Consider the following 18,940-nt stretch of genomic DNA (forward strand, 5'->3'; position numbering starts at 1 on the left):
AACATCATTATGAGGAGCCCAGTAGCCAGGACTAACAGAAGTTGTGAACATATGCAGTCTACTGTCAGATGGACCTTCCGCTTCATTTGGGCAAACTGCTACTGTGCACTTGGCTCATTTCACTCACATCTAAAAAATGTTAAGATTCTGCAGTCTCCTTTTCCTCTTTTTTGTTTTTGACTGTCCTTCTACCATAGTGACTCTCACTGTGTGATCCCCAGTAGTATCACCTGGAAACTTCTTAGAAACTTCTTAGAAATCAAGTTCCCAGGCCTAAACAAGACCAACTGAACCAGAATCTCTGGGGGTGGGACCCAGTTTTAACAAGCCCTGTACAAGTGGATTCCGACACATGCTGAAGTTTGAGAACCGCTGCTCTAGCATGTTGTAGTTACCAACCTGTATACATTTTCTTGATGTCACTGACTTAATATATTTCTGCTAAGCTCAACATATATGTTGAACTGTGGCCAGTAATTAATGTTGGTGGTTTCATGTGGCTCAACTAATATTTGCTTTGTCTAAACCAGGATTTCTTAGACATATTTTGTTGAGATATTGACATTCTTTGTTGTAGGCAGCTGTCTTGTGCATTGTAGGATGTTTAGTGTCATCTCTGGCTTCTACCTACTAGATTACAGTAGTATTTCCTAAATGATGATTAAAAAAAAATGTCCCTAGACCATGAGTAGAGGGGAGGGGAAGGGGGAGATCACTCCTGGTTGAGAACCACTAGCTAACCCAGTTTCTTTTCCTTCAAACTCATAATACCCAATGTACTACCCATAATGTATCAGTTTTTCTCCCTGGGTAGGAAAAGGGCCAGATATAAATTAATTATAGAAATTAAAGATTATGGTGATTATAATTTTTTATAATTTTACAAAATTTATATTTCTTTTTATGTTTTTTCATGTCCTATTTATAGTGAGCAATATCACCCTATAGACTAGTATTATTTGCTTTCCTTGTATCTTATTGCTGTGAAAGTCTAATGATAATTTGCTTTTCTTTTTGTTCCTAAGTAACTTGCTTATTTTGCTTGGATGCCCAAAGGATTTTTCTTTTTCTTTAAGATTCAACAGTAAATCTCAGTATTGGTTATATTGGATTGATTTTCTCAGGTTTGTGGTATGTGCTTTTGAATCTTTTTTTTTTTTTTTGACTTAAAAAAAATTCCTTCCCTTGCTTTGGTTTTGGTTTTCTTCTTCAGGAACTCCTATTGAAAGTTGTTAGATCTTCTTTGTCTATCTTATATATTACTTTCTCTCAAGCCTGTATTACTTTCTTTCAAAGGTTTTTTTTTTTTTTTTTTTTGGAGACAGAATTTCATTCTGTCGTCCAGGCTGGAGTGCAGTGGCACAATCTTGGCTCACTGCAACCTCCACCCGCCAGGTTCAAGTGATTCCTCCTGCCTCAGCCTCCCAAGTGGCTGGGATTACAGATGTTTGCCACCACACCCAGCTAATTTTTGTATTTTTAGTAGAGACGGGGTTTCACCATGTTGGTCAAGCTGGTCTTGAACTCCTGACCTCAGGTGATCTGCCTGCGTCGGCCTCCCAAAGTGCTGGGATTACAGGCATGAGCCACTGTGCCTGGCCTCAAATCTTTTTTATTTAAAAATTTTTCTTCTTTTCACCTTTTATTTCTCTTGAAGTATTATTGTGTTTATTCATCTTTTTCTTCTTTCTAGTTTAGTCTTTTTTGAAATATTTTCTTCTAATTCTTTCCTGAGTTCTATCACTTCATTTCTGAGTTTTCATAATTACGATTCATGTGTTTTTTCATATCTTACACATTAAAAATTTCTTTGCTTGTGGAGAAATAGTAGGTTATAGTTACCTGTAGTTTGCGTATGTCTTTCATGGTCTTTGGGAATATTAGTCTGCTCCTTATTCTCTCTTTAAAAATTAACTATCCGTGTAATTTAATCATGATCCTTATTTTTCATTTTTATGTGAAATTAGTTTTCATAAACCTTAGGAGGTGTGGTTCAGGATAGCTTTTCTAATTTCAGGGCTCTAGAGCTCCCTTTTTTGTTGTTTTGTATAGTGTTCGAATTAGGATACCTTACTTTGTGAGGTTTCTCGGTTCTGTTTCTCTCCTGTACTTTTATGTGGACCTTCTTGTTGTTCCTCTGCTGCTCAATTTGGATTCTGTTTCCCAGAATTTTTCTTCATCTTGGGTCTTTGTTCTAGAAGTTTTGAAAGTTCATGGGGATAAGACTGCTTGGTCCTCTCAGATGTTACTATGGACTTGAATTCATCAGCTGTTGGAGGATACAAAACCATTTGCAGTTTTAGCTGCCATTCACACGTGGCATGCATTTTTGGTTTGTGTGGGAAATCTTATCACGTAGTTATGGTGTAGATGTTATGCATGGTTTATTTTATTTATTTTGTTTAATTTTATTATTTTTGTCCTAGTTGCTCTGTTTTTAATGAGGGATTCAGGAAATTTTAAAAAATGATGTGTTCACTGCTGCCATCTTCATAGGGGTACTTTCATCAGTCTTTTTGTATTTATATACTTTATTTTGCACCAGTTTATTGAGGTATTGATGTACAGTAAACTACATATATTTAAAATGGGGAATTTGATGACTTTTCACATATGTGTATTCCCATGAAACCCTCACCATGATCAAGATAATAAGCATATCCACCTCCGAAAATTTCCCCATGTCCCTTTTGTAACCCAGCTTTCATTCTCCTTTCCTCATTCCCAGGCAAAAACTGCTTTCTGCCACTATAGTTCAGTTTGTATTTTCTGTGATTTTCTGTAAGTGAAAACATACAGTAGTATTATTTTTTTTGTATGGCTTCTTTCATTCAGTGTAATTGTTTTGAAGTTTATCCATGATTTTGTTCATTTCTTTTTATTGCTATATGGATATATCACTGTATGGAATATAATAATTTGATTATCCACTTGTTAGTGAACATCTGGATTGTTTTATGTATTACAAACAAAGCTGCTATAAATATTTACATTAAAGTGTTTATGTGAACATATGCTGTTATTTCCCTTGGATAAATGTCTAAGTATGGAATATCTGGGTGGTTTGGTAGGTGTATGTGTATCCTTTAAAGAAATTGTCAAACTTTTCCAAAATGATCGTATTATTTTATATTCCATCAGTAGTATGTGAAAGGACCATTACTCCTCATCCTTGCCAACATTTGGCACGTTGAGTCCTTATAATTTTAGTTATTTTAGTGAATGTGTAGTGATATCTCATTGTGGTTGTAATGTAATTTTACCTAACGATTAAAATTTTGTTGAGCATTTTAAGATGTATTTATTTGCCATTTTTATATTTTCTTTGGTGAGGTGTTCAAATCTTTTGTCTGCTTTTTATTGGATGTTCTTACTCTTGTAGTTAAGAATTCTCTATATATTCTAGATACAAGTTGTTTGCTAAATATTTATTTTGCAAATATTTTATGCCAGTCTATGGCTTACATTTTCATTTTTGTAACAGTGCCTTTGAAAAACAAACATTTTTAATTGTGATGAAGTTTATTTGGTTGATTTTTAAATTTTTTATACTTTACCTTTTGTGTTTTCTTCAAGAAATCTTGTCAAACCCAAGGTCACTAAGATTTTCTGCTGTTTTCTTCTAGAAGTTTTACATTATTGGCTCTTAAATTCAGGCCTGTGATCCACTTTGAATTAAATTCTGTTTATTGTTTCAGGTTGAGGAGAGACTCATTGTGTTTGTATACGGCTATTTAATTGTCCCACCACCACTTGTTGAAAAGATTATCATCTCCTCATTGAGTTGTCGTTTCACCTTTTTAAAAACTCAATTGCGCATTTATGTTTGGGTCTATTTCTGGACTTTCTGTTCTTTTCCATTGATCATATGCCAGTATTGCACGACATTGTCTGTTGTAGCTCTACTGTTGTAGCTCTGTGATAGGTTTTAAAATCAAACCTGCTAGTATTAGCCCTACAACTTTGTTTTTGTCAGATTTGTTTTAGCTATTCTATATCCTTTGCATTTCCATATAGATTTTAGAATAAGCTTGTTCATTTCTGCAGAAAGCCTACTGGGTTTTAGAAGGGGATCATATTGAATCTGTCTTCAATTTGTGAGATTGACATCTTAACAGTATTGAGTCTTTGATACTTGAATATATTTAGTTCTTCTTTATTTCTCTCAGCATGTTCTGTAATTTTTGGTCTACAAATCTTAAACATCTTTTGTCAAGTTTTCTAAATATATTTCATATTGAAATAGGAAAAGTTCCCCAGACCGCTCGCAGGGCGTGCAGTGGGGGAGTGGCGTGCTTCTTTGGTGCCCCACTGCTCAAACCTCTAGGGGGAGCATGCAGATGGGCAGGTTGTGGGGCTCTGACCCCATGGCAGTGTCTAGAGGTAGATGTTTAGAGCTCCCGAAGTCCCAGTGGGCATGTGTTACAGGGTGCTCTTTCAGTTTTGCTGTCCGTAGGCGGCTTGTGTTAGTCAGCTCAATTAGACCCTTGCCTTATTGCAAGGTCAGAGGGCTTTCTGTATCTCGGGGTTTCTTGCCTTGGTGTACTGGAAGAATCGGATCACACGTGGACTTGGAGAATAAGTGCAAGGTTGTATTGAGTAGAAGTAGCTCTCAGCAGATGGGGGAGCCAGAAGAGAGACAGAGTGGAAAGGTAGTTTTCCCCTGGAGTCGGGCTGCTTAGCAGCCCGCGCTCTCCTCTGACTGCCCCAGCCAAACTCCACCTCATTCCGGGGGTTGATGGCTTGCGGACCTGCCAGTGCCTGTTATTGTGCTCTTATGCGGATGCGCTCCTCTTGACGGCCTCTTAACATCTAGCTGCGTGTGTTTTCTTCCGCTGGAGTGTTCCTTTCCACGTCCAGCCACTTGCGTCTCTGCCTGCTAGGGTCTTGGGGTTTTTATAGGCACAGGATGAGGGTGTGGTGGGCCAGGGTGGTCTTGGGAAATGGCAGAATTTGGACGTGAAGGCAGGAGTTCCTGTCCTCACCTAGGTCCGTGGGCACAGGCCCAGGGGTGGTACCCTAGTCAGGGAACAGCCTTTCCCTTCCCGGCACTTCCCTGCACCCCCTCCCATATCAATATTGTTATGTTAATGTAAATTAGATTACTTTTAAAATTATAATTTATATTTCTTTTCTATTATATGGAGAATATAATATATAAAAGTAGAGATACTTTTATGTATTGACCTTGTATTCTGCATACTGCTAGACTCACTTATTCTAGCCATTTTGTAGATTATTTAGGATATTCACCATAGACAACTATGTTGTTTGTGAATAAAGATAATTAAACTTCTAATCTGTAAGTCCTTTATTTCCTTTTCTTGCCTTATTGCACTGGCTCAGAGCTCCAACACAGTGTTGGATAGTGGTAATGGCCTAGTTTCAATAGGTTGGTACCAATTCTTCTTTGAATGTCTGATAGAATTCAGCTGTGAATCTGTCTAGTCCTGGATTTCTCTTTGTTGGCAATTTTTAAATTACAATTTCAATCTTGCTGCTTGTTATTGGTCTGTTCAGAGTTTCTATTTCTTCCTGGTTTAATCTAGGAGGGTTGTATACTTCCAAGAATGTATCCATCTTCTCTAGGTTTTCTACTTTGTGTGCATAAAGGTGTTCCCAGTAGCCTTGAATGATCTTTTGTATTTCTGTGGTATTGGTTGTGATATCTCCCGTTTCATTTCTAATTGAGCTTATTTGGATCTTCTCTCTTCTTGGTTAATCTCGCTAGTGGTCTATCAATGTTGTTTATCTTTTCAAAGAACCAGCTTTTTGTTTCACTTATCTTTTGTATTTTTTTTTTGTTTCCCTTTCATTTAGTCCTGTTCTGATCTTTGTTACTTCTTTTCTTCTGCTGGGTTTGGGTTTGGTTTGTTGTTTCTCTAGTTCCTTGAGGTGCGACCTCAGCTAGTCTATTTGTGCTCTTTCAGACTTTTTGATGTAGACATTTAATGCTATGAACTCTCCTCTTAGCACCGCTTTTGCTCTATCCCAGTGATTTTGGTAAGTTGTGTCACTATTATTCAGTTGAAAGAATTTTTTAATTTCCATCTTGATTTCATTGTTGACTCAATGATCATTCAGGAACACATTATTAAATTTCCATGTATTTGCATGGTTTTGAGGGTTCCTTTTGGAGTTGATTTCCAATTTTATTCCACTGTGGTCTCAGAGAGTACTTAATGTAATTTTGATTTTCTTAAATTTATTGAGACTTGTTTTGTGGCCTATCATATGGTCTTTCTTGGAGAATATTCCATGTGCTGATGAATAGAAAGTGTGTTCTTCAGTTGTTGGGTAGCATGTTCTGTAGATCATCTGTTAAGTTCATTTGTTCTAGGGTATAGTTTAAGTCCATTGTTGCCTTGTTGACTTTATGTCTTGATGACCTTTCTAGTACTGTCAGTGAGGTATTGAAGTCCCCCACTATTATTGTGCTGCTGTCTTAGGTCTAGTAGTAATTGTTTTATAAATTTGGGAGCTCCAGTGTTAGGTGTATATATATTTAGGATTGTGATATTTCACTGTTGGACAAGTCCTTTTTATCATTATGTAATGCCCCTCTTTGTCTTTTTAAACTGCTGTTGCTTTAAAGTTTGTTTTGTCTGATGTAAGAATAGCTACTCCTGCTCACTTTTGGTGACCGTTTGCATGGAATATCTTTTTCTACCCCTTTACCTTAAGTTTATGTGAGTCCTTATGTGTGTTTGGTGAGTCTCTTGAAGACAGCAGCTGGTTGGTGAATTCTTATCCATTCTGTGATTCTGTACCTACTAGGTGTCTACCCAGAGGAAAAGAAGTCATTATATGAAAAAGATGCTTGCAAATGCATGTTTGTAGCAGTACAATTTGCAGTTGCTAAAATATGGAACCAGCCCAAATGCCCATCAGTCAATGAGTAGATAAAGAAAATGTGTGTGTGTATATATATAAATATATATATATACATATATATACACACTCACCATAAAAAGGAACAAAATATTGGCATTTGCAGCAACCTTGATGGAGACTATTATTCTAAGTGAAGTAACTCAGGAATGGAAAAGCAAACATCGTATGTTCTCACTTATAAGCAGGAGCTAAGCTATGAGGACGCAAAGGCATAAGAATGATACAGTGGACTTTGGGGACCCTGGGGAAAGGGTGTGAGGGGTGTGAGGGGTAAAAGACTACACACTGGGTACAGTGTACACTGCTTGGGTGATAGGTGCACCAAAATCTCAGAAATCACCGCTGAAGAACTTATTCATATAACCAAACACCACCTGTTCCCCAAAAACCTATAGAAATAAAGTGCTTAGATACGAATCTAAGAAAATGTGTGTAAGATCTGTTTGTTAAAAATTACATAAAACTGAATAAATTATTCAAAGATATAAATAAACAAAGATAAATATTGTGTTTATGGATTAAAATAAAGAAGTGGTAATGGTCAACATCCCTGCCTTGTTCCTGACTTGGGGGAAAGTATTCTTTCTTTCACCATTAAGTATGATGCTAGCTCTAAGTTTGTCGTAGATATTCTTTATCTGGTTGAAGAAGTTCCCTTCTATTTGTAGTTTGCTGATAGTTTTAAATCATGGGTACATACTGGATTTCTCAGATTTCCACATGCAGTGAGGTATCCATGTGTTTTTTGAAAATTCTGTTACATTAACTGATTTCAAAAATTAACCCTTTTGGCCTGGTGTGGTGGCTCACGCCTGTAATCCCAGCACTTTGGGAGGCTGAAGCAGGTGGATCATGAGGTCAAGAGATCGAGACCATCCTGGCCAACATGGTGAAACCCTGTCTCTACTAAAAAATAAAAACAAAATATTGGCCGGGCGTGGTGGCACGTGCCTGTAATCCCAGCTACTCGGGAGGCTGAGGCAGGAGAATAGCTTGAACCAGGGAGTCAGAGGTTGCAGTGAGCCGAGATTGCACCACTGCACTCCAGCCTGGTGACAGAGCCAGACTCCATCTCAAAAAAAAAAAAAATCTTTTTATTTTGAGAAAACTATAGATTCACATACAGTTGTAAGAAATAATACAGAAATACCCATGTTCTCTTTATCCAGTTTTCCCCTATAGTAACATCTTGACAGGATGTTGACATTGATAAAATCAGGATACATAAGATTTCCATCACCATGGGATCTCTCACATTACACTTGTGTAGTCACACCTATTTCCCTCCTGCTCCTGTATCTCTCCTTAGCCCCTGGAATTCACTAACCTGTTCTCTATTTGCATAACTTTGTCATTTCAAGAATGCTATATAAGTGGAATCATACGGTATGTAACCTTTTGGGATTGAATTTTTTTCACTTAGCATAATTTCTGGAGATTCTTCAGGTGGATACACATATAAATAGTTCTTTTTTTTTCCTTTTTATTGCTGAGTAGCATTCCACAGTATGGTGTACTACAGTTCATTTATCCGTTTCTTCACTTAAGGACATATCATTGTTTTCATATCTTTTTTTTGTTGTTGTTTTGTTCAAATAAAGGTGTTATAAACATTCATCCACAAGTTTTTATGTGAACAGAAATTTTTATTTCTTTGGGATAAATGCCCCAGAGTACAATTGCTGGCTTGTATGGTGTTGCATATTTAATATTTTAAGAAACTTCCAAAGTGTTTTCCAGAGTGGCTATACCGGCTTACATTCCTAGCAGCAATGAGTCATCCAGTTTTTTTGCTTTTGGTAGTGTTTTTAAAATTTTAGCCATTCTGATAAGTGTGTAGTGATATCTCATTGTCCTTTTACTTTGTGTTTGCCTGATGGTTAATGAATTAAACATCTTTTAGTGGGCTTATTTGCAATCTGTATATCATCCTCAGTAAAATGTTCCCTCATGTCTTTTACCCATTTTTGAATTGGATTGTGTATTTTATTACTATTGAGTTTTGAGAGTTCTTTATATGGTCTCGACACTAGCCCTTTTTCAAACATTCATTTGCAAATATTTTCTCCCAGTCTGTGGCTTGTCTTTTCATCCTTTTACAGGGTCTTTCACAATGCAAAAGTTTTAAATTTTGATGAAGTCTAACTTTTCTTTCTTGTGGATCATGCTTTTACTGTCAAGTTTAAGAATTCTTTGTCTAGCCCTAGATCTAGAAGCTATTTGCCCATGTTTTTCCTGACAGGTCTATTGTTATATGTTTCACACTTGATCTTAGTGAAAAGGTTGAGAAGTGATTAGTTTTATGTTTTAAGTATAAGTCTGTGATTTACTTTGAGTTAGTGTGAGGCATAGGTCATGTCAGTTTTTTTTTGTTTTTAATTTTAAACACCTGTGGATATCTAGTTGCTTCAGTGCCGTTTGATGAAAAGGCTGTCTTTTGTCTACTGGATTGTCTCTGCACTGTTGCCAAAAATCAGTTGGGCATATGTGTGGGGGTCTATTTCTGGGTTCTCTCTTCTGTTCTGTGGATCTGTGTCTCTCTCCTTCCACCAATACTGTGCAGTGTTGGTTACTATAGCTATATAATAAGTCTTAACAGTGGGTGGACACAATTCCTCCTACTTCATTCCTCTTTTTCAAAATTGTTTCAGCTATGCTCATTCCTTTGGTTTTTCATACAAATTTAGAAAAAATATAATCTATGTCTCCCGAAATCTTGTTGGTATTTTGATAGGAATTGTGTTAAAGCTGTATACCACTTTGGGGAGAATCGCCATATTTACCATGCTGAATTTCCCAGTGTGTGCCTCTCTGATTGCTTAGATATCCTTTGATTTCTTTCAGCATTGTGTATTTTCAGCCTACAACTTCTGTACATATTTTGTTAGTTTTTTGGAGTGATTATAAATTATATTGAATTTGTAATTTCAGTGTTCATGTGTTGACTTTTGTCACATGTTTTTTCTGAATTGGTATGATCATGTGATATTTTTCTTCTTTAGCCTGTTAATGTGATGGAGTACATTGATTTTTAATATTGAACCAGCGTTGCATCCCTGCAATAAACTTCATTTGATCATGGTATATAATTCTTGCTAAAATTTTGTTAAATATTTTTGTATCTATATATATGAGGTATACTGCTTTGCAGTTTTTCTTCATGAAGTGATTTAGGAAGTGCCACCTCCTCTTCTCTTTTCTGGAAGAGATTGTGTAGAATAGTGTTAATTTTTCATTAAATGGTAGTATTCTCCATTGAAACCATCTGGGCCTGGACAATTTTTTAAGACTTTGAAAATATTAATTCAATTTCTCTAATAGTTGTAGGAGCATTCAGATTATCTCTTTCATATTGGATAAGTTGTGACTATGTTTATCAAAGAATTGGACCATTTTGTCTAAGTTTTCAAATTTATATGTATAGAAGTATTCATAGCATTCACTTATTATCCTTTTGATTTCTGCAGTCTGTAGAGATACCTACCGTTTCAATCCTGTTGTTGGTAATTCATGTCTTGTCTTGTTCTTTTGTCATTCTTGCTGAGATTAGTTGATTTTTATCGATCTTTAAAACAACTAGGTCTTTGTTTCCTTCCTTTTATTTTTTCTATTTTTATTATTAATCTCATCTCTTTGTTTCTTCTGCTTGTATTGTGATTATTTTGTTCTAGGTTCTTGAAGTGGAAAGTTAGATTATTGATTTGAGATGTTCCATTTTTTTCTAATGGTTACATTTCCCTCTTTGAATATGTTACCTGTATCCCACAAATGTTGATTTTTTATTTTCATTAGTTCAGTGTATTTTTTGATTTCCCGTGAGACCTTTCTCTTTGATTCATGGGAAAATACAGAAGTTTGTTGTTTAGTTTCCAAGAGTTGGGAGATTTTTCTGTTACCTTTCTTTTACTAACTTCTAGTTTGATTCCATTGTGGTTAGAGAAAATTCTGTATTATTTAAATTTTCAAAAATTTGTTGAGGTTTGTTTTGTGGTCTGTCTTGATATATATTCTTCGGGCACTTGAATGGAATGTGTATTCTGCTGTTGGATAGAGTGTTCTATAAATGTCTACTAAATCTTGGTTGATGGTATTCTTGAGTTCTTCTATATCTTTGCTGATTCCCTGTGTAGTTCTGTCAGTTGTTGAGAGATGGGTTCTGAAATCTCCAGCTGCACCTGTGTATTTTTGTCTGTTTTTCTTTTCAGTCTCATCAGTTTTTGCATCACATATTTTGCAACTCAGTTTGTTGTATACACACTTAGGTTTGCTATTTCTTGGTGGATTCATCTCTTTTATCATTTTATAATGTCCCTGTCTGTCTCTGGTGATTTTCTCTTCTCTGAGATTTACTTTACTTGATACTCATATAGCCACTCCTGCTTTCTTTTGATTCACATTTCTATGATACATTATTTTCCATTCTTTATTTTCAACCACTGATACTGTTATATTTGAAGTGAGTTTCTTGTAGACAGTATATAGTCGAATCATTTTTAAAATCCACTCTGCCAATTCCGGTCTTAAATTGATATATTTAGACCACTTATATTTAATGTAATTGTTGATATTTTAAGGCTAAAGTGTATCATTTTATTTTTTATTTGTTCTTTTTTTGCTTCTGTTTTCTTTTTCTTGCCTTCCTGTGAAAAGTTTTGTTTTCACCTCCATGAGGTATTAGAGATTATACCCTTTTTTATCTTAATTGCAAATTAGTGAATAAAATTCACTGAACATTCAATATTTAATGTTCCTGACATCTGTTCATCTAGTTAGCCATCTATTCATTCATGTTTTCAAGAGATATTTATTGAACCTCTACCCTGGGCCAGGCATTGTCATTTTCTTTTTCTTTCAGATTATTCTCTTTCAGTTCTTTAGCAGTGTAGTAAATTTATTTCCTCTGGTTGTTGTAACAAATTACCGCAAACCAGGTGGCTTAAAAATAATAGAAATTTATTCTGTCACAGTTCTAGAAAACAGAAGTCTGAAGTCAAGATGTCAGCAGGGATCTAGAGGAGAATCCATTCTTGCCTATTCCAACTTTTGGTGGTTGTCACCATTCCCTGACTTGTGGCTGTATTGCTCAAATTTCTGCATCTGTGGTCAAATGGCCATCTATTGTGTTTTATTCTCTGAGTTTTTCTTTTAAGGACACTTGCTATTGGATTTAGGGCCTAGATAGTTTGGATAACCCAGGATAATCTCTTTATCTCAAGAGCCCTTTAAAAATTAAGACAATAATCGCAGGTTCTAGGATTAAGATGTAGACATATCTTTTAGGGGGCCACCATTCAGTTCACTACAAATAGTATTTTTCTGTGCAACTTTGATTTCTCTTTTTTTGATCCTCTCTCCATTTGGCATGGGTTCTCTATTTCACACCCTTTGCTATTCCTTCTGAATTTTGTCTATTAAAGGATTCTCCTAGAGAGTGATGAGAACAGTGGAATGATTATGATGTCCTGTATTTCATAGCTTACCGTATAGCAACAGAAAAAGCCTTTCTTCATGACAGGGCAGCTTCATTTAGAATCAGAATATGTTTCTTTCTAATAGAACTTACTCTAAAGCAAAAATAATATTATTTTAAAAACTATGTAAAACATGTATTAAAGTCTTATGTACGTATAACTACAAATCCATTTGAAGAGATAAGTAAAAATAATTCTAATCAATAAGTAAATATTATGGAATCAGCTATCAATATTTAAATTGGTGTCAGTTAAGAACAGGTGGAATTTCCCTCTGAGGTGATGCCATGTTTATTAGCATCTTTTTGATATATATATCTATATCTATCTATCTATATATATATATGTATATTTCAAGTACTTTCAGAACTTAGGCCACTTTGGTTATATTTGAAAACAGTTTTTTGCTGTTTGTGGAAATGGTTTTTTTGGGAAGAATCTGAACATTTTTTTCAAGGTATTTAGGCCACTAGAGTATTGCTGAGATTATTTTGATAACTCCTTAATGAATGTTAATTTAAAAAGGAGTTATGTAAATATACCCTGCTGATCTTTAAGAGTATTGAGTGTATCTTTAAGAAGTTTCTGACATGGAGTCAAATCTAGTGTAACAAGTGATTTCACTGTACCAAGAGAAAGTTGTATGATTTTGCTGTAGTTGATTTTATTGCTGTCCCTGTTGCTATGACTATTAATGTTTTACCGTAATAAAATGTTACCATTTATATATTTTTATAAAGTATGGCAAACTGGCAGGTCACAGGAAAAAATGAGGTAGAATTAAAAAATATGTATTTAATAATAGTCTCGAAACTTTTAGACTTAAGACATATAAAACAATAGACAATCTTGTTTCAGCACAAGCATAATTAATATCTTCATGTATTTGTTATAAGATTTGCTTAATAAAATTTCAGTTTTGGTTTTAATTTTATATCTAAATGATGTATTTCTGGCTTAAAACTTAGAAGTCTGAGTGCTTAACATTCAAAGCAGTCATTTTTCCAATTAGTCCATACTTTTTATAACTGTGCAGAGGAATTCAGCTTATAATTATAAATTTTAAATTTGTGTTTTCTTTGTAAGTGCTGGTCAAGATGTCCAAGGAACAAGTGTGATTGCAAATCTCCCATTTTTGATGCGACAGAATCCCACTGAGACGCTTCGGAGAGTGTTGCCAAAAGTCAGAGTAAGTTGGTATGAAATAAGATTGGAGTTTCCCATTTTTTCCCAGTAGCATGTTGTCATTGTTGAAAGGATTTTGGAGCTTTGATGGCTGATCTTTTGCACCTAAAAATTGAGTGGAGGAAGTGTTATTATATACATTTTGAATTATAATGAAAATATTTAGGGAAATTAGCTGATGGAAATGGAGAAATCCAGATCTTAAGTTGTAAAATTTCTTTAGTCATTTTCTCAGTAGAGACATTTTACTAAAGGTAGTTTTTAGTAGCTCAAAAACACCTCTTAATTATTCTTAAAAAAAAGTATTTAGTATTCTGTTGACTTAAATCTATATTAATAGTATTTGTATAACATTGATAATATAATTGAGCTGATATTCCTAATAATTGACCCTATGATGACTTCTGAAGAATCATCAGATAAAGATTGAATTATAGCCATCACAATTTTAGATGTGTATGTAATTTATTGCTTTATAAATTTCTTCAGAATTAGTTTTTCTGCTATGAACAAAAATGTTTGATCTATTACATTCTTTCTTCTGACTAATATTTATTGATTATTAATATAAAATTAAATAATTTCAACTATTAAATATTTAGTAATTATTTATTTGTACTTATGTGCAAAGTGCTTTTCTTTATAAGAACTTGAATGAATAAAACAGACACCAGTGTGTGTGTCCTCCAAGAGTTTACCTACTAATGGGGTCAGTGAGGTTACATACTAATGAGGATTATGTTTGCTAATAGAGGTTGGTAGATTTTGCTTTGTTTTTTTATTTGGATATAGCTCTTGTCATAATTTTTAATTTATGTGTTTAAAATACTGAAGTTATTATTGAGTCCTTGAGTTTTATTTTTAGGCATGTGTAGCATGGTTCTAGTTACTGTGATTTAGATCAGGGACATACCATGTTATTTTCATGAGATGCCCACCTATGCAGGCACTGTGAACATTTTGACTGATTACAATGGTGAATTAAGATGATATTTATTTTGGCATTGCATGTGATTCAAAAGTAAATCAAGCTTTTTTATATCTGTTTTTCCCAGAATCATGCCATGTTTCAAAGGAATTAGGCCCACACAGACCAGGTTTATTTTTACGTTCAATTTCAGTGATACTAACTGACCTACACTTGTCAGCATGACACCTGGAAGTGCCAGTTAAACAATAGCAGAAAGGAACAGGTATTTAGGTCCTCTTGGCTACAGAGTTAATGTAAGTAAGCAAATTAGATTTATAGCTAAGAATACTGCATGCTGCACACTTTGCATTGAGCAGGTAAAATCTGGTCCACAGAAAGCATATTAGATATCCAAAGTTTCATATGCAAGAATAAAAGATGAAAGAGAGCAGTGAACTTTAGAGGTCTCTAAATTACTTTGCAAAATTCCTTTTGTTGAGTTCACAATAAAGGAAGTTAAGTAACAGCTCCCCCAAAACCTTAATTTCATGGGAGTATATAAAGAATATTATACACTTTTTTTTATTTTCTTACTTTCTATTTAAAATATTCTAAAGAAAATTTTATACAAATTTTCATTACTTTTAAAGCTTATTAAAACCATATCTTCTATAACTCAGGCATACCTTACAGTTTCAAAAGATACATTTGATTCTTTGTATAAATATGCTATATATATGAGTGTATAATACAAAGAATCAAATGTATCATATTTATACAAAGAATCAAAGTGTATAAAGAATATTATACACTCATGTATAACATATTTATACAAAGAATCAAAGTGTATAAAGAATATTATACACTCATATGTATAGCGTATTTATACAAAGAATCAAATGTATCTTTTGAAACTGTAAGGTATGCCTGAGTTTTAGAAGATATGGTTTTAATAAGCTTTAAAAGTAATGAAAATTAATCCATAATACAGAGTATATTAACTGAATAATGGATACAAAGGTAGTATATACTAATGAACATGTACTAAGGAAACCTTTATTTATATGTGAATGATTTCACTCATTTATTTTACTAATCAACATGCAACCATTTATTTAGGACCATCGTCTTGCTGTACTCCGTTTAAAAGAGATGCCGAAAAGGTAGAAGAGTCCAGATTAGACTGTATATTAGGAAGGTCTAGTGACCATGGAAAACAATGAGAGAACAAGTATAATAGAGTATTGTGTGCTTGTGACTTGATGTAAAAATGCTGAAGAATAAGGCAAATGAGAAGGGCTTTATGGGGGTAACTCCAGTAATAATGACTTTTATCGATAGTCTAATATATAATGTAGACAGCCAAACATTTAATCACTCCCATTTCAAATGATAAAATCTGTGTTTCTGTGCATATTATTTTAAATTCATTGTATTCAGATTTTGTTATGACTTATTGGTACTCCTGGTTAGCACCTTTGTCAATTCCACCTCACTTCTGTGAGTGTCTACTTTCCAGTGATGAAATGCTGACAGCATCTCGGGTAACTGCTTTATTTACTTTTGCTTGGCCATGATTTCTCAATTTTTTAAAAGAAAGTAATCTTGAGCATTTAGTAATAATGGCATTCTCATTCATTCATAAATATTTACTGAGTCCTTTTATAAGGCAGGCACTGTTCGAAGCACTGGGAAAATAGAAGTGAACAAAAGATGGGGGACTTGCCCTCAAGGAGGAGGCTACAGTCCAGATGGAGAAACAGACATTAAACAAGTAAATCCCTCCTCACCCAAGAAAGGTATAATGGTCATTTGTGATAAGCACTCTGAGTGTACAGAACATGAGTTGATGAGATAAAGTAATATAGTAACGAGGGCACCTGCTGTGCATTGGGATGGCAAGGAATGCCTTTCTGAGGAGCAGAAAACTGAAGGGATGGAAAGAAGCAGCCATTTGAGAGTCAGGACCAAGTAGTTCAGGTGGAGAGAACGGTAATTAGCCCTAAGGTGAAAGAGCTGGGTGGGACTGAGAGAGACAGGTGTGTTTTGGACCCAGTGGATGGTGTGGGGTGTGATTGAGAAGAGGTTAGAGAAATGGTTGATGAAAGAGCATGCAAATGTTGGTTTTCATTCTTAGGACAGTGAAAAGTCGTTGAAGTCTTTAAAGCAGGCAGTGACTTAATTGTGTTTCTATTTCACAGTGATCATTTTGGTTATTGTATGGAGAATAGATTGGAGTGGGATAGTTAGGAAGCTTCAGTTCTGGCCCTCATAGCTAGTATGAGGACAACTAATTAAGACAGTAGAGAGCAGTAGACATATCTGAGATACATGGGTTAAGGTAGAATGAGCAGAATTTCGTAACAGATTGGGTTTGTGAAGTGAGAGATGACTTCCAGATTTCTGGCTTGACCATGCATATGGTTCTGCTGGTTTTCAGTTATAGTTGATAGTCTGTTAAATTCATAAGGAAAATAATTTGTGTACTTGATAATACTAGTCTTTTGTGAATGATTTACTTTTAGATAATTTAAAGATATGAACAATACATATTTTATGCAAGAAGTTAATCAATACCAAGATTTTTACCACATTTATAACAGTGGTGTGTGCAGCTTTTAGAGCTCACTTTTTACCTTGTCTTTACCTTTAAGAATATCAGATGAAGTAATGGAGATTTTGCTGGCCTTATGTATTATAAACTTTCACCAGTGATATTTTTGTTTTATTGCATTTGCATTTTGTTCTTATGATAATGGATTAATTGAAAAGTGATTTAAAAAATAGGTTGCTTTCACTGTTTTAGAGATAAAGGAATTTAATGTTTAAAAATAAAATGTCAGAAACAGAGTTAGTGTTACAATTGAGCTAATCCATCAGATTGAGGTTGCTGTCTAGAATAACTAACAAAGAAGAAAAATAGAAAGTAAGAAAAATAGAATTAAGCCAATCCATAGTATTTCCCCAATTTATTTTCTAAATTGTGTGCTAAGTGGGCAATGAATGGTAGTGCAGTTAGGCCACTCATCTGAAGGTTAAATTTAGCTAGAAATTTAGAAAGGAAATATTTTGACCTCCAATTTAAATTTCTTAAATGTGGAGACATTTTAAAATATAGTTTTTACCATATATTCATGTTACATGATTTAATCCTAGGGTATCTATTGAATAATTTTTTTCCTGTGATTTTATTAAGTTTTAATTCTTTTTCCACAGTATATTAAATTGAAATCTTAGATGTTTGTTAGACTTCAATATTTGCTTTGAACTTCTCATTATCTAGAAGTGAAAGAATTTGATTGTCAAGATAAATATCCAAAATATTATACCATGGTCTTTTATAAAATTCAGAATAATAGCGATATAATTACACCACATAACGAAGGTGATTCCATTACAATCCAATGCAAAAAACACTCTCTACTTATCGAGGTATTAAATTTATTTAGTTGTTTTTACACTTACATTTTGGCAACCATAAATTTGTCATAAAATTATATAAAAGAAATCGAGCAATTCCAGGCACAGATAAAAATAATGTAGCCAATATTTATTGAGGTCTTACTATGTGTCAGGCACTGTATTCTGTCAGATATTCTACACATTTTAATCTGAATACTCATAGCAGTTCTATAATGATCACTTGACAGTGGAAGAAACAACTTAGTTAAGTAACTTGCTCAACGTCACAAAGCTTGCAAGTGGTATAATTAGGTTTAAACAGGAAGTCTGAGCCCTGAGTCCTCACTCTTTACTACTCATTAGCTGATCATGACTGTAACAGATATAAAATGTGTAATTTAATGTCTCAAGCCTTAGTCATCTCCTGTCTGTACTACAGCAGCCTCCTCACTGAGTCTGTTGCTTCCATTTTGCCTCCTAGAGCAAACTCACCCAGAGAAATCTTTTAAAAAGCATCAATCATATCTTGTCTCCCACTTGCATGAAAATTACTTAAGTGGTGTGGTAGGTAGAATCATGCTCCTTCCCAAAAGATATTGGGCCCTAATCCCTAGAAATTGTAAATGTTACCTTATTTGGAAAAGGGGTCTTTACAGATACAGTTAAGGATCTTGAGATTGGGAGATTATCCTGGATTATTGGGGTGGTGGTCTAAATGCCATCACATGTGTCCTTATAAGAAGGCAGACGAGAGTTGACGTATACATGTAGAAGAATGCAATGTGAAGATGGAGGTAGAGATTGGAGTGATGTGGCCACAAGCCAAGGAATGATAGCAACCACCAAAAGCTGAAAGAAGCAAAAAGCAGATTCTACCCCAGAGCCTCTAGATGGAATGTGGCCTTGCCAACACTTTGATTTTGACCAGGTGATACTGACTTTGAAATTCTGGCCTCCAGACCTGTGAGAGAAGAAATAGCTGTTGTTTTAAGCCACTCAGTTTGTGGTAATTTGTTACAGCAGCCACAGGAAACTAATGAAAGTAACTTCCCATTTCAGATATAATACAACCCCCTAC

The 18,940-nt window shown here is 34.5% G+C and overlaps 1 protein-coding gene across 10 annotated transcripts in view; it reads left to right on the forward strand.

Annotated features, from left to right (window-relative positions):
* Positions 1-18,940, forward strand: part of PPP4R4 (protein phosphatase 4 regulatory subunit 4) — a 105,413-nt gene that overhangs the window by 20,691 nt on the left and 65,782 nt on the right. For 8 of the 10 annotated variants that reach the window (NR_145441.2, NM_001348144.2, NM_001348143.2 and 5 more), the window contains exon 3: positions 13,452-13,554. Coding sequence is in view for 5 of the 10 variants with exons in the window: in NM_058237.2 (NP_478144.1) it covers positions 13,452-13,554 (103 nt within the window). In the remaining 5 variants the exon portion in view is untranslated. Of the gene's footprint in view, positions 1-13,451; positions 13,555-16,174; positions 16,260-18,940 lie in introns of those variants that run through there. The other 2 variants (XM_011537039.3, XM_024449673.2) reach the window with 2 other exon arrangements.

This window comes from Homo sapiens, chromosome 14, assembly GCF_000001405.40.
Source record: "Homo sapiens chromosome 14, GRCh38.p14 Primary Assembly".
NCBI classification, from domain to species: Eukaryota; Metazoa; Chordata; class Mammalia; order Primates; family Hominidae; genus Homo; species Homo sapiens.